Here is a 15,753-nt window from a genome sequence, read left to right as displayed (position 1 = left end):
GTGGCCTGAGACGGTGCTGGGAGGTAGCAGGAAGCGAAGTGCAAGGCTGAGGAAGACCCTCTATAAGGGCCAGGGCCTGTGCAGAGACGTGGCGGGCAGCATGGAGATGGGGAGACAGAGCAGGCAGAGGAACATGGCAGACGGAGGAAGATGGCTGCGAGCAGAGAACATGGCAGACGGAGGAAGATGGCTGCGAGCAGAGAACATGGTGGGCAGACAGGGAAGATGGCAGCAAGCAGTGAACACAGTGGGCAGGAGGGGGCGTGGTGGGCTTGGAAAACGTGGCATCAAGGATGGAGAACTTGGTGGGCAGGGAAGATGGTGGGTGGTGAATATGATGGGCAGAGAACAATGCAGTCCCCAGACAACCCTTCTCCTGCCTGGATTCTGACTGATGGTGCAGTCTCCAGACATCGCTCCCTGCCTCCACTACACCCAGATAAGAAGATGAAAATCTCATGCCAGCTGCCCAAAGTGGAACACTGCCCCTTAGGTTTCCCTGAGGGCCACCCCTGCTTTCTTCTCTGCCTATGAGTTCCTAAGCATCAGCAGTATCATTGCATCTGCCATATATCTCCGGTTCTGCCCTCTGTCTTCATTTTTTTTTGTTTGCTTGCTTGTTGCTCGCAAATAAAGAATAAATGAGGAATAAATAATCTTTTAAAGAAGCCAAGTTGTGCCTTTTGTTCATGGTCCCCAAGTCATCTTAGGGCAGAGTTGTCTGATGGGAAGGGTACAAGTTAGACTCGATAGATTTTTTTAATGTTTACTCAACACACAGGAACTAGAATTCTAGAAGAAGGAAAAGGCATGCAGAGATACAAAGTGAATCACGTTATGACGATCAGAGGCACCAGCAAAAAAGAACACACAGCCCTCACCATCACATGAGGCTCAAATAACATGCTATGCCAACACATGAAGTAACTCCTGCAGGAATTACAAAGACAAAGTAGAATAAACAAGTGTCCTGGGATGTTTTATTGTACCTATTTTAATATACATTTATGACAGATTAAGTACATTAAAATGAAAATATATAAGGAATCTAATAATATATAATGAGTCCTTGGTTCAGACTCTTTCGGAATAGTACTTGTGGGGCAGATATAATAATAAATCATGATTTCAATTACAAAGGAAAAATGAAATGTTAACTCCAAATCCACCATAAAACTCACTTCCCTGCTTAAAGAGAGTTGAAATGCGCTTCTGGAGACAGTGAAATGCAGGTCCCTGAGACCTGACCAACTGTGCCTGCGTCCGGTTCTGGTCACTAACAGTGTGGCATTAGGCACCTCTCCCTGCCTTAGTTGTCATCTTCTGTAAAATAGGGAAATGGTGATCTTGGCTTCAAAGTGTTACTGTAGAGATTACAAAATATACACATAAAATGCTTAGGAGAGTGCCCAACAAATAGGAAACACACACTCAATATGAGTTGTTATTATTAATACTACCAATAGTCGTAATACTGCTACTGCTATTATTATTACTACTACCTGCTCCTGGGGCTTCAAAACAATATTTAAAAAGAAGCAATTCAAAGGAAGAAATGGTTAGTTTTGGATATTTGTAACTTCAAGGCCATAAGTGAGGATGCATCACAGAAAGGGAAGTGAAAAAATCTTACACTCACAAAATTATGGAGAATCATTCTCACCTCTGTATTACTCAGGACCTTTCCAGTATATGTAAGAGGAGGCCCAACGCAGCCTGGCTTAAAAAAAATTAAAACACATAACCACTAAGTCTAAGAGTTAACACAGCTTCAGAATTGGTTAGCCCAGGGGCTCTCCAATAGCACGGAGTTCTTCATTTCCTTCTTTCTGCCACAGTGTCAGCTCCATCTCCTCATGACTGAAATTCAGTGCTGTGTAAAAATCACACTCCATGCTTCCTTATTCTTGCCTAGCAAGAGGTCTCACCGTTCCAACAAGCACTCTGCACCCCTCCCAAGAGAGTATGGCTAGAGGAAGAGTCTGCCAATCCAGTGAAGCCAACCAGCTCCATGGCAAGAACCGGGATGCGTCGTCGGCTTCATCCCAGATAGGAGAAGACAGAACACAGGAGAAATTCAAGAGAAAATGTGGATGAGAATAAGTGCTGAATAGTGCATCACGGAGTGGGCTGTCTCCCGGAGGGGGTTTTTCAGAATAAGAACACTGGATGGTTAATTGTGTCCACTACACACATCTTTGAGACAAATTCGCCGCATTCAAGTGGGTCCAGTTCTGCCCAAAGGGTGGTCAGTGAGTTATCCTGCGAGAAACCATCTGCTAATCTCATTAAATGTCTGAAGACTACAACTAGCTTCTAATGTAGTCCCTTTCAGCCACACGTTTCTGTGCTGGGTACCATGAAAACCCAGGTTCCACTGGGCTCAAGACGGAGATGCGGCCCAGAAGCCACAGACTCACCAGACTCACTAAGATGGGGTCAGGAGGCCCAGTGCTGACCTGGCCCGGGCTGGGCTCCAACCATCCTACTTCCTCAAATTAGCAGTCCTGATTACATAAATTACACAGCTTACTAAATGCATCCAAATTTCTGACAAAATTTTTTTTCCAAGTCTGGTTTATTTCCAAAGGTGAAAAGTCTAAATTATAAAATATTACAATGTCCCAATGAAAGTAAACAAGGGAGAATTAGGTGAAAAATCATGGAAGTTTATAAAAACCCCTTCACAGAATGAAGAATTCCCAAGAGCATTTTGTCTGGTTTAAATTGATAACTTATGATTAAAACACCATTTGTACGAATCCTCCAGTTAATCCACATAATGAGAAAGGTCAAAGCGTGACCGGTTATATGGTTGTGGCCCTGCTCACACTCTTCCATTTGAAATGAGCTGCTCTCCTAGCCCTTCCTGGAGGCTCTTGGCCATCAGCACAGGAGCATGTGCCCCTCTGAATCTCAGGAACCTTTAATTCCACTTCTTGCCTGGAGTGAAAATATCTATGGGCTCTGCCTGCACTTTTATCTTTAAAATTCAAAAAAAGTTAATAGCCATAAGACATAAACAGGGAGCCAAAGATAGAGTGAGATGATAGTTTTTAACTGACAGGCAGAATCACTCAGAGAATCACAGCTTAGAGAAAATATTAATTTAACCCTGAAAGTATTTACTCTCTTGGAAAAAAATGAAAGGTCACAGCCATATGTGTTTACCTTTTCAAGCACTGCACTCAGTAGTGGTGCTTGCGGAAGAGTTTTACAGCTTCTCACATGTGTTTTCTGACATCTCTGCAGATCACAAGGTTACTCTGTTTCCACTCTAGTAACATGGTAGTAATGTTCACAGATTTCCTTTTGTTGAACTATCCTTGCATTGCTCACAAACCTTTCTTGGTCAGGATGCACTATCCTTGAGAGCACTGCTTGTTTGATTTGTTACCTTTTTCTTCTCCTTTAAAGAATGGAAGACAAGGTGCCTCAAACCTGTAATCCCAGCACTTTGGGAGGCCAAGGCAGGTGGATCACCTGAGGTCAGGAGTTCGAGACCAGCCTGGCCAACAAGGTGAAATCCTGTCTCTACTAAAAATACAAAAAATTAGCCAAGCATGGTGGTGGACGCCTACTCATGTGTCCCAGCTACTCAGGAGGCTGAGGCAGGAGAATCGCTTGAACCTGGGAGGCAGAGGTTGCAGTGAGCCAATGCACTCCAGCCTGGGCGACAAGAGAGAGACTCTGTCTCAAAAACAAAAAAAAAAAAAAACAAGATAAAGACTGTTTCATCCTTTGCTGTGTTCTGGAACAGTTTAAAATAACAGAAGTTATCAGTTCCTTAAAAGATGGTGACTATTATTTAATAGGTAACTGTGGAAGGACTTGTGAGCAGTGTTTTAGCTACAGGAGGAAATAGACAAGCACGCACGAGGTGATTCGTACACTACACAGGATTGTCCATGCACAGGTCCTTGCTGTGTACTAAATGCCTGCTACCCGCAGTGCAAGTGGCCATAATCCCGACTGGGTTCTCATAGGCTCATGGTTGCTTGGTAACACTGACATTCCCTCTCGGCTCATCACAACCTCCACCACACTGATGTGTGAAAAGAGGTAACAGAAGAACCCCAGAGCCCCAATGATGAGGCAACGCCTCCGTGACACGCCTGCCCCCTTGGCTCCAGAGCCCCAAAGCATGGTGGCTCCCTATCACAGAAATATGAGCTCACACTGAGGCCAAGACTGGGACAAAGGACACGTGGAAAGAAGTAACAGTCTTAATATGTTGGTGCCAGATTATGAGTTTCTCTGGAGTCTGTCCTAAAGGAAATGGAAAATCACTGAAGGTGCAGCAACGGGAGGCAAGTTAACAGCAGGTTGGCAAGAGGGACAGCAGTAAGGAATTTAATTGAAAAACACTAAAACGTTTTCCAGGAATATGTGCCAAATGTGACACTTTAGCAAGATGGGAGACTTCTGCAGACCGCCAGAAAGGGTTTCTGCTTAGACTTTAAATCCTTCCTCTAGATGTTGGATTTTACTATAAACCCATTTTTAACATCTTTTCCATTTCTAGAATTCCCTAACCCTGTCATGCTGTGGTTGTTTTTTGTTCATCTTTCCACATGTTTCTGAAGAGGAATAAGTCATAGAATATTTACTGATTATATATAAGCCACAGAATATGTACACAATGTGAGCATAATAAAATTAACCATTCAAATGTGCAATAAATGATTCAGTTCCAATCATCCCAGCTACATAGTCATGTAGAAAATAATATCTTAATATTTCTTCCATTCTATGTGCCAAATTAAATGAAATTGGCCAAAATATTGTACTTGTTATGGTTGTCATGCTATGTTGTCATACATGTTATGGTTGTCATACATGTTATGGTTTGTTTCATTAAAACCAAAAAGGTTTTAATGAAACAAAACAGCTAAAAGTAGAATGATGGTATGTATTCTCTAACCCAGTCCTTGAAAACATCTGCATCAAGGTGCCAAACTGGTTTTCCAGTCTTGTGGGTCACAGTCCTCATCACAATTTAATCATAGCCACATTCATGATGGGTGGCATTTACGGAGTGTGAGGAGCTTTGTCGGGTGCCTGTCAGATGGGGCTTTCCTCAACAGCCCTGCAGAGTGGGTCTTAGTGGGCCCTCTTTGCACTGATAGAACCTGAAGAGCAGAGAGTTCTGTCTTTCACTTCAAGAAGCCGACTCACGGATCCTGGCCAGGAGCCCTGTTAAAACAATACCCAAACTTTTTGAGATAATTTGTTAATGGAGGAAGTACCTACAGTTCCAACCCAGTCTTCAGTACTTGGGCAGGCTTGCCTCTCAAGAATTCATTTCGTTATTTATTCATTCAACAAATATGTGCTAGGCACCTGCTGCATGCCAGATACTGCTCCAAGCACTTGGGGCACATCAATAAACAAAGCATGCTTGGCCTTGTGGAGCTCGCATTCTAGAAGGAAAAGCAGTCAGCACTAGATAATAAATAAGCAAATCCAATAGGATGCTGGGGGATAAGTGCTGCAGCGTAAGTAACAGCACAGCACCAGGGGGTGGGGAGACAGAGTGCGACATGAAGGAGGGTCGAGACAGACCTTGGGGAGAAAAGGACATCTGGGCAAAAGCTGAGAAGAGAAGAGTGTCTGCGGAGGAGTGTTCCAGACAGAAGTACCCAGCAGTGTGAATGTTCTCAGCAGGTGTGTGCCCAGTGTCCCAGAGGAATAGCAAGGAGAGCACTGGGGACAGACTGGAAAAGGCTCAAACACAAAAGGTCAGAGACATACAGGGCCAGAAGGCAGAGGGTTTTGGCCATCAGTGAGCTGAGGGGCATTGTGGGATTTTGAGCGATGGAGGGTGAGGAGCTCCCTGCTGGTTTGATGGCCACTGTGCTCGCTCTCTTGACAATAGCCTATAACAGGCCAAGGACTGAAGCGGTGAGAGCCATTGAGAAATTTTTGCAATAACCCTTAGGAATGAGGTGGCAGAGTCTTGGACCAGGTGACAGCAGAGGAAGAGGTAGGTGGTTGGATTCTGGACCTTTTTTGAAGGTAGAGACAGCTGAATTTCCTGATAATGCTGAATATTTGATCAGATATCATAACCATACTTCTTTTAACAGAACATATTCTGGGAAATCAATTTGCTGTGGAAATTACTTTCTTGAGTTGGTCTGTTGAGGATGTTTCCATGAGAACCCAGGCCTGCTAGAGCAGGGACTGTAAGTTCAGGTTTTCAGAGTTTAGCAAGTTCTTGTCAAATGTCAACTTGACCCTATCATCCATTACCCATCCAAGACTCATGAAGGAGTTCCCTTACACAGTGTTGAAAATCAGCTGGGATTTCAGACAGGGCTGACATTAGCAGATGCTCAAATTGTCACCCAAGGAGTTTGAAAATCTGGAAGCATTATTCTGCTAGGTCCAGGAATCAAAGTTGGTGCACGGACTAGGACCCTCAGACCAGCAGGGATGCTGAAGCAAGAATGTAACGTTGAAGACAGGGCCACAGGAACTGCAGCTAGTCCTAGGACTGAGGGGGATCACTTCTGCCAAGGCCTGCCCCCCGACTTCCCAGACAGGGTGCTGTGCCCTGGAATAAGAGAGCTCATAACCACCTTCTCCCAGCCGCCGGGTCTTCCCATTAGGTCTCGGCCCTCGCTTGCTCTCTTCTTACTTCCAAACACACAAAAATACTGTGAGGGTTTGCAGCTGATGAAGTCCCAAAGGAGCAATCCAGGGCTTTGCACATTTTCCTGTAAAGGGCCAGACAGTAAATATTCTAGGCTCTGCGGCCACACGGTGTCTGCGGCGGCTTCTCAACTCAAAGCAGCAGAGACAACACTGAACAAATGAGCACTCATGTGTCCAACAAAACTTCATTTACAAACCCTGAAATTTGAATTTTATGTGAGTTTTACCTTCCACAAAATATTATTTTCTTTTTTTTTTTCAGTCATTCAAAAATGTTAAAACCATTCTTACCTTGCTGGCCAAACAAAACCAGGCAATGGCCAATGTGAGCCCTGAACTAAACCGCGTGTTTTGAAAGGGCTCTGGTGCAGCCAGGCCGACTTGGAGCCCCTAGGTCATGCAAAACGCAGTGCTCTTTCTGCTGTGGCCTTGGCTTAGTAGTGACTCCAGTAAGTCCAGTGTGTGAAGCCTGGTCACCGCTAACTCACAAAGGTGCAGCACAGGTCACCAGGCAACTCTGTTTCATGACACTTTACTGCCATCTGCTGGACAATTGTTGCAATACAATTACATACAGATTGCGCCGACCGTGAATTTGAAGAGTCCCGTTGTAGTTTTGTGATGCATCATTTGTTCAATTTAAGCAGTGGCCCTGGGTTGGGGAAATATAGAAGGAAGAAGCAACTAATTCACAGGAGTCCCAGAAGTCATCATGCAAATGACACAAAGATCCCATCACTTTCTAGTTTGGGGAGGGGGCGGGCGCAAGGGGAAGGAAGGAGGGAAGAAAGACATCTTCCAACTGTTATTATCTAGTCTCTGCAGGCTTAGATTGGTGCTCTGCCTACATTGGAGGTGTTCTGCAAACCGGAGTCTTCCTCGCCAGAGTCCCATAAACGTGCCTCAGTCAGATGCTGGAGAGACAGAGAAGGGAAGAGTCCATCAGAGCCTCCTGATTCGAGCATCACACAGCAACCCTTCTGAGCTCGGTGGTCCACACAGCGCAGGGTTCTATGAACTCCTGAGGAGAGCCAGGAGTGCTGCTAAGCTTTCCCAGGTATGCGTGACCATGTGTGCCTTCATCTGTGTGTGACTTGGGCCAGCACCTGCCCTCCTCCTTCCTTGGTTTATCTGCCCCCTCAATGGGGATAACACTCCTAGACGTTGCTGCCTCATAGAGACAGTGTGACCGTGGAACGAACACCCTTTGCACAGCATAATCAGGATCAGCAGTCCTGAAGCTGCAAGGCTGGAGAGAGAACAGGAGGTGAAAGAAAAGGGTGAGTTAGACCACAATTGGGTGCAGTCAAGAAGCCACAGCACGCAAGAGATTGCCTGTGATGGGGCTCCAGGATTCCAGGCCTGGCAACAGACCCCCAGGTTTCAAAATGAAAAACGAAAAGAGCTAGAGACCAAGACCAAGGGATATGTTCAAAGACTATGAGGTCCACTGTCTCTGATTTAAAACCAAAACGTTTGCCATTTGCTCTAGGGAATCAGGGAAGAAAGATACAGGGTGATCTGTTTGGCCCCGCCCCCAGGCTTCTGGACATTTCCAGGACTCTAGGCAAAGGCAGAAGCCAAGTCAAGAGTTCCACAGCAAAACAGGTGTGCCCAGGACCGGGGAAGTCTCAGGAAGCCCATAGTACATATCAGCTGGAACTTGGGGGGCCCGGGACTCAAAGTGCCCTGTGTCTGGCCTGGGGGGACCTGGGGCGGGCGACATGATGTGCAAACCTCAGACCCAACTCTAGTAACACAAAGCTGTCCCAGGGAAAAGCGAGCAGATTCCAGTGTTGTGACAGCTCAGGCTCAGGACGAAGACGCCTGCGTGGGTACAATGGGTCCTCTGGGGGTGCAGTAGAGGTCTTTGTGGGGGAGGGCAGTGCATGGGGGTCTGGTGGCCCCTTCACCTCCTTCTAGAACCCTTGGGAAAGAGACACTGCATGGGAAAGGCTGAGTGTCATGACTCACCCAACCCCTTGTCCAACATGAAGTGACCAAGCCCTTGATCAGCTTTAAAAACTAGTTTACGGCTGGGCACAGTGGCTCACGCCTGTAGTGTCCGCACTTTGGGAGGCCAATGCGGAAGGATCGCTTGAGCCCAGGAGTTCAAGAACAGCCTGGGTAACACAGGGAGACTCTGTCTCCACAAAAAATTAAAAAAATTAGCCAGGCATACTGACACGTGCTTGTGGTCCCAGCTACTCAGGAGGCTGAGGCAGAAGGATCTCTGGAGCCCAGGAGTTCGAGGCTGCAATGAGCTAGCTATGATGGCACCACTGCACTCCAGCCTGGGAGACAGAGTCTTGCTCTGTCTCAAAAGAATAAAAATACAAACTAGTTTCCGTCTCCTCAGCCACACACCATGATTAAACTTCAGCACTAACACTTTCATGCAGGACAGTGGTTGACATGCTTTAAGACTGCCTCCTTAGTGCACAGAGGACAATGGCACAACACCATGGCCAACCAAGCCCAGGCCAAGGTGGGATTCCACTCTCACCCGGATCTGGAAGGCAGAGTACCCCTGGTCACTGGCCAGCGCTGTTTAGAACTATCCAGGGGGCTCAAGGACTCATGGGCTCTCTTCCTCCCTTCCCTTCTCCCAGCTCCCATCTCCCTCCACACTTTTCCTGCTCACAGCCCCGGGGAGTCAGGTCCACAGGGCTCTGCCCTGTGGTAAGCCTTGCTGTCCTAGGAAGCAGGCTCTGTCCCTCTGGGCTGCTCACCAAGCCACATGCACAAAACCCTGCCAGTCCCCCCAGCAGCCTGCCACGCTGCTGAGCCCAGATGGTATCTTTTAGTGGAAATTTCCTGAAGACACAGGAAGAAGCCAAGGGAAATGTAACAGAGAACTTAGCAGCAGGCTTTGCCTCTATCCTAGAGTCCCTGAACTGATCCCCTGCCTGGCCCAGGAGGCCTGTGCATGACAGAGGTGTGACCTGCCCACTAGCACTAGTCAGGGTCAAGCCGTGCCTTGGCCCCCACCCTTCACTCTTGGGAGAAAGCTCTCAATTTGTTCAGTACCTACACATAAGGGGCTGTCTTTACGGGTTTGCCCAGACATCCCAGGCCCTCCCGAGTCCATGCCCTTCCCTAAGAGTCTCCACTTCCCAGGATGGTGACAATAAAGGCCCATTCCCCTCAGGAGAAGCCCCCTCTGCTCAAGATGTGGCCTTGGAGATGTGCTCCGACCATGCCCAGAGCCACACAGACCCAAGTGCAGCCAGGACCACCCACACTGGCCTGCCCCTGCCCTCTGATGGCTCCTTCTGGCCCAAGGACCATCCCCTCCTCATTGAAACCCTGACTCGGGGATGCTCTGGGGAAAGGGGAGGTCACTGTGGAACCAGAAAATAAAGATACAACCCTAGCTTCTCATCTAGAGAGTGCCATCCAGCTGTGAGACCAAAGATTGGAAAGGCAATGAAGTAGAGCGACCCCGGAGCTGGTGTAGTCCTCACCCGCAGTGCGTGCAGACACATGGCACTGCAAGCTACAGGCACGGCTTCTCTATATCTAGAATTGTGTATGTGTGTCCATGTGTGTCTGTGTCTCTCTGTGTACATCCACGTATGTGTGTCTGGGTCTGTGTGTGTGTCTGTGTGTCTCTGTGTGCATCCATGCGTGTCCGTGTCTGCGTGTCTGTGTGTGTGTGTCTCTGCATATCTGTGTGTGTCTATGTGTGTCTGTGCCCTCCAGGCCGGGTAGGGGCAGGAAGAGTTGGGAGAGGAAGCCTGATACAGGCCCAGGCCCCAGGCCCTGCTCACTCCCCTCAGCTCCTTGGGCTGAGTGCAGTGGGCTTGAGGGTGGATGTGCAGTGGCCTCCTTCCCGAAGTCTGAGGCCTTGGTCTAGGGCTGAGGTTGAAGGACAGCCTGGATGGCACAATACCAAGGCTCTTGGAGAGGCTGTGTCACCCGCCTCAGGGGTGCAGGTGGTTTGGGCACATTTGGCACCCACAGCAGCCCCATCTTCCCTGAAAGGCTGAGGAGGGAGGGCAGCCAGAAGTTCCATGGGGACCCCGGTGGACTTGAAAGCTGGACAACCCAGGCGAATCTGATCGCTGGAGTCGGAGGTGCGGAGGCTGCAGTGAGCCGTGATCGCTCCACTGCACTCCAGCCTGGTCGACAGAGCAGAACCTTGTCTCTAAAACAATTAATTAACATGACTGAGAAGTGACTAACTTGGCAGAATTCACCAAGAAGGGGTCGACTGCTCTCTATCAAGCATGAAATAGGGGCTAGACTAGAATTACAGAACATAATGGGAGTTAGGTTTTTTTCGTGGGCGTCCTACTGGGAACTCTGCACCCACGGCCAGGCCTCCTGCCGCGTGCGAGTCTTCTGACAACCCCCTGCGCAAGCGGGGCCCCTCCGGCCGCCCCGGGACGTGCGTGTTCCTCCCGCTCGCGGCCCACCCCACTCGCGGGGCGTCCTCCCGCCAGCGGGACCTGCCGTAGGAGGGGAAGGGAAGGGAAGGGAAGAAGGCCGAGTCGCCTCCCCTTAGGTGTAATCTGTGCTGCTGACTTCAGAAGGATGTCTTCGGGTTGGAAGATTTAACTGGGAGCGAAAGTCAGTAAACAGCCCACGAAACAAAGGCCAAAGCTCTCCAGGCCCTTCCAAAGGTTTTTCGTATGATGAAGCCCCGCAGTGGGGAGGGCCCCGGAGCGCACCCGCCGCGCCCCTGCTGGGAGCTTCCCACTCTCCGCGGAGGCTGGGGGCAGTCCCGGCCAGCGTTTCCATCAGCGAAAAACACCCACTAGGCCACGTCTAAGTCGCGCTTGGAAATCGCTAAGTGCGGGACCCTGGCTCGGGCCAGTGGACACCCGGACTCCCCGCGCGCACAGCAGCCCGGCCGAGCCTGGGCGCCAAGCCTGGGCCGGGCTCCACATGGCTCCCCTTGGCCCCAGGGAACTGTCGCCCCTGGGTTCCGCCGCGGCTGTCCTCTCGGCCCTCTGCTGGCGCATCAGCACAGTGGTTTTCCGAGGCAGGGGTTGGGTCCAGCCTGTGCTGCTTCTGAGCCGCAGGAAGTCGCTGAGACCAGCGTAAGGAGGAAACCCCAAAACCTCTAACTGGACAGGAGAACTCCTGAGGAACCTTCCGAGAGGAGGGGCCGCAGCTGAAGCCGGCAGGCAGAGACGGAGAGAAATTTGACGTCGTCATAATCAGCACCAATACATATATACATAAATACTTGGAAAACCACCCAATGTTAAATTTCAAATTAGAAACGTCCTAAATGTCCAACAGCAGGGGAATGGCTAAGTAAAGTATAATACCTAGCTAGAACAGATGGTACCAGCCAGTCTAAAAGGAGGGTTCAGAGTTTGCTGTAATTTTGGAAATTGTAATTAATACCCATTTAACTGAGGAGATAATTTTTATTAACTAACATGATCTCATTTATAGCTTTAAAATGTGCCTAAAAATAGCAATTGTCATGGTGATTTTATTTGTTTGATAGAATGGGTGACAATTCATATATGAATGAACAAGTTACCCCAAGAAGACAAACAGGTTAGAGTAACCTTGTGCAAAAAAAAAAAAAAAACTCCATCTGCTTCCGAAGGAGGCGTGAGGTTGCCTGTGTGGTGCCTGCCTTCTTGAACGTGGTGCAGAAGAGCTGGGGCTCTGCCCGGCAGTGCCCACTTCCTCTGTAACAGGCAGGATGATGTCTGCTGAGGAAAGAGCTGTGGCCTGAGGAGGGGACAGCGGATTCGTGAAAGTAGAGCCCAGGGAGTGAAGGAGGGATGGGATGGGGGATGGTTAGGGGACAGGGAGTCCAGAATCAGAAGCGTGAACCCCGGGGCCCGGGCCACTTGGGCTGGTGATGCAGCCTCCCAGCTTGGCAGCAGGAGGTGAGCCCTTGACTATGGCCCCCATGAGGTCCCCTTCTCTCAGGAGGGTAGTAATGGTCCCTGCTGCTGTGATTTGAATACTCCTCCCTTCAAAACTCATGTTGAAACCTAATCCTCAATATGGCAGTATTGAGAGGTGGGGCCTTTAAGAGGTGACTGGGTGATGAAGGTTCTGCCCTCTTGAATAGGTTAGTCCATTCCTGGATTAATGGATTGATGAAGGGGTTGATGGATTAATGTGTTATGCAGTAGGACTGTTGGCTTATAAAAAGGGAAAAGAGACTTGAGATGGCACGCTCAGCCCCCTGCCATATGATGCCCTGAACCACCTCTGGGCTCTGCAGAGTCCCCACCAGCAAAAAAAAATGCTCACCAGATGCACCCACTCAACCTTGGACTTCCCAGCCCCCAGAACTGTGAGAAATACATTTCTTTTCTTTATAAATTACCCAGTTTCAGGTATTCTGTTATAAGCAACAGAAAACAGACTAAGACCCCTGCTTCCTAGAGCTGTAGAGAGGGGCCCACACCAGCATCCACAGAGCACTAGGAAGAGGGCCTCCATGGCATAGGCACCCAGGAAATAAGTGTCCGCTGAACCTGTGGATTCACAGGTGCCTCTGATGGACTTCGGGATGGGCTGGTGGTGCCGTTAAAGACCAGTGGCTGCCTCTGCTGTGTTCGTGTTGTCCACATCACTGCTGGGATGACAAACCTGCAGAGGCTCCATCTGCACACAGTTTTGATGAAGCTGGAAATTCTCCCTCTCTCCTTGCACCTCTTTCTCAGACTTTCTTCAGGGATTTTTATGGTTTTCTAAATTATTTTTGCATAAACACTATTTTAACAGCAAAGAATAAAAATTTTTAAGTGCAAACATTCACACTTCATCTCACTGCTCTCAAATTATCTTTTACATTTTCATATTTATCTCCTATCCCTTCTCATATTCAGACATAATTTGACATAGTGCTAATTATAGCATTAATTCATATTCTGTCTTTGCTGTTCAAAGGAGTTTAGGGTAGATTGGTGGAAAAGTCAGATTAAATGAACGTGAAGCAAGGTAGCATCAAGCTGCCCCTCTGCAATCATAAGCATCAGATCTTTGGGAGGATCAACAAGTGTTACATTCAGAATAGCCAGCTTCAAGAGCAAAGGCAAACCCAAATAAGCCATTTCTGAAAATATTATCCCAAGTGTATTACGTGTGTGTGTCAAAATTATGCAATGGTTTCATGCAAATTGTTGAGTAGTGAATGAGAACATTGCCGTTTAAAACAAACAAACAAAAAGCCCTAGATGAGTCCAAAACCACTTACTGGAAGGAATGAAGAATTAAAGAAAATCACTAAACTGCAATAAGAGAGGATATATTACTAACAAGTCTGATGAACCAAGTGAACTAGATGCAACCCCTCTCTCTTTCTCTCTCTCTCTCTCTGTCTACACACACACACACACACACACACACACACACACACTCCCATCAGGAAAAGAGAGTAAGTTAGCATCATTTTAAACCAGCATTTAAGATCACAAACTAAACAATAAAGAATAGAAACAGGTGGGAAATTGGACAGAGGGAAACCGAAAATCATTAAAGACTTACGCTTCCATAAAGGGCAGACCAAGTTTTGTGTGTTTGTTGCCAATTGTAGATATATTTTAAATGAGACTGATACTGTTTTAGGATAACAACCATAGGATCAAAACTGGTCTGATTTCCTGGCTGACCCTTAGTAAGAGATGGAAGCAAATGGAATGTGGCTCACTCATCCAAAGACAGCAAATAGAGAAAGAAGACAGAAAGCTAGGCCTACTCTGCAGGTGTCCATGGTAGGCACCACTAATGGGGCAGGGGCTCCCTCACCTCCCATGCTCCCCCCAACATGGGTCCTCGCAACCTTCCTCTTAATCATTTAGTAGATCTGCCACCTCCTTCTTCCCTTTCCATCACTCCACACCATCTGTGTGAACTTTTTCTGGATTGCTGGGTGGGCTCCTAAACGTTGATTTGTCTAAAATATAAAACCCGTTTTACAGAGTAGGTACCCAACAAATATAAAATGTGAGTATTTTGGTATATTCATTTTATTTACATCAAGTTTCTTTCTATCTACATAAGTGTAATACTGTATATCAGCATGTTTCAGATTTTACTATGATGGTTCTGCTAGCTACAGTAAAGGAAGAAGGCTTTTATGTTTGTGTGCATGTGGCTGTCTTGCAAAATGTATATGGGATATGCATTGTCTGTTCTTTAAAAACATACAATGATTCGTCTATGTATTTCCAACTTATTAGTTCTGTTTACTTAGTCATTTCCACTCTCAACTTCTATTAGTCTGCTCGGTTTGCCATAACAGAATACCACAAACTATTTGAACGTGTCTTAAACAACAGAAATTTATTTCTCACAGCTCTGGAGGCTGGAAGTTTGAGATCAGAGTGCTGGGCAGTTTGGTTCCTGGTGAGGGCTCCCTTCCTGGCTTGTAGACAAACACCTTCTTGCTGTATCCTCACATGGCCTTCTTTTGATGAACATGCATCCCTTGTGCTATGGTGTGAGTGTTTGTGTCCCTGCCGACATTCAGTTTCATGTTGAAACTGAATTTCAACAGTATTAAGAGGTGGAGCTTCTAGGAGATGATTAGGCCATGAAGTCTCTGCCCTCATAAATGGGATCAGAAACCTTGTAAAAGGGCTCAAAGAAACTAGTTCAGCCCTTTTTTGCCCTTCCATCCCTTCCAGCACGTGAGGACACCTAGACGGTGCCATCTTGGAAGCAAAGACTGGACCCTCACCACACACTAAACCTGCCTGGGCCTTGCTCTTGGACTTCCCAGCCTCCAGAACAGTGAGAAATAGGCTCTATTATTTATAAATTACCCAGTTTGTGGTATTTTTTTATAGTAGCACAAATGGACTAAGAAAACTGCTGTCTCTTCCTCTTCTTCTCAGGACATCAGCACTGTGGCATTAGGTCCCTGTCCTCATGGCCTCATTTAACCTTAATTACCTGTTCAAAGTCCTCATCCCAAAATACAGTCACATTGGGGATTAGAGCTTCAACATGTGGATTTTGAGGGGACACAATTCAGTCCATACCACAATTTTTCTGGCCAATTGTAGGATGGTGCTTCTTGGCACACTTAGGGATGAATTAGATTGTGTAATTAGTTCTGGACAACAATTTGTGAGCTGCTATGATTTGAATATTTGACCCCTG

General features: G+C 47.4%; 1 long non-coding RNA gene across 1 annotated transcript in view, besides 2 other annotated features; it reads right to left on the bottom strand.

Moving 5' to 3' along the window:
* Positions 1-4,330: 4,330 nt before the first annotated feature.
* ZNF32-AS3 (ZNF32 antisense RNA 3) overlaps positions 4,331-15,753 on the bottom strand; it is a 45,883-nt gene continuing 34,460 nt past the window's right edge. The window contains exons 2-5 of the long non-coding RNA NR_038867.1: positions 7,509-7,909; positions 6,952-7,312; positions 6,585-6,722; positions 4,331-5,196 (exon numbers count right to left, since the gene is read on the bottom strand). This is a non-coding gene — a long non-coding RNA (ZNF32 antisense RNA 3). The remainder of the gene's footprint in view (positions 5,197-6,584; positions 6,723-6,951; positions 7,313-7,508; positions 7,910-15,753) is intronic.
* Positions 7,639-7,808: an enhancer, noted in NCBI's record as "experimental_12364 CRE fragment used in MPRA reporter constructs". NCBI's record gives its function as "activates a minimal promoter by MPRAs in K562 erythroleukemia cells, with activity observed for the introgressed 10:44166755 variant allele {active_cell/tissue: K562}" and the evidence as "EXISTENCE:reporter gene assay evidence [ECO:0000049][PMID:34662402]".
* Positions 11,533-11,712: a silencer, noted in NCBI's record as "fragment chr10:44162766-44162945 (GRCh37/hg19 assembly coordinates)". NCBI's record gives its function as "represses an EF-1alpha promoter that drives an FKBP-Casp9 reporter gene in an ReSE screen in HepG2 liver carcinoma cells {active_cell/tissue: HepG2}" and the evidence as "EXISTENCE:reporter gene assay evidence [ECO:0000049][PMID:32094911]".

Source organism: Homo sapiens, chromosome 10, assembly GCF_000001405.40.
Source record: "Homo sapiens chromosome 10, GRCh38.p14 Primary Assembly".
In the NCBI taxonomy this organism is placed as follows: domain Eukaryota; kingdom Metazoa; phylum Chordata; class Mammalia; order Primates; family Hominidae; genus Homo; species Homo sapiens.
The sequence above is the reverse complement of the archived record's forward strand: the minus strand, read 5'-3'. Positions and strand labels throughout refer to the sequence as shown.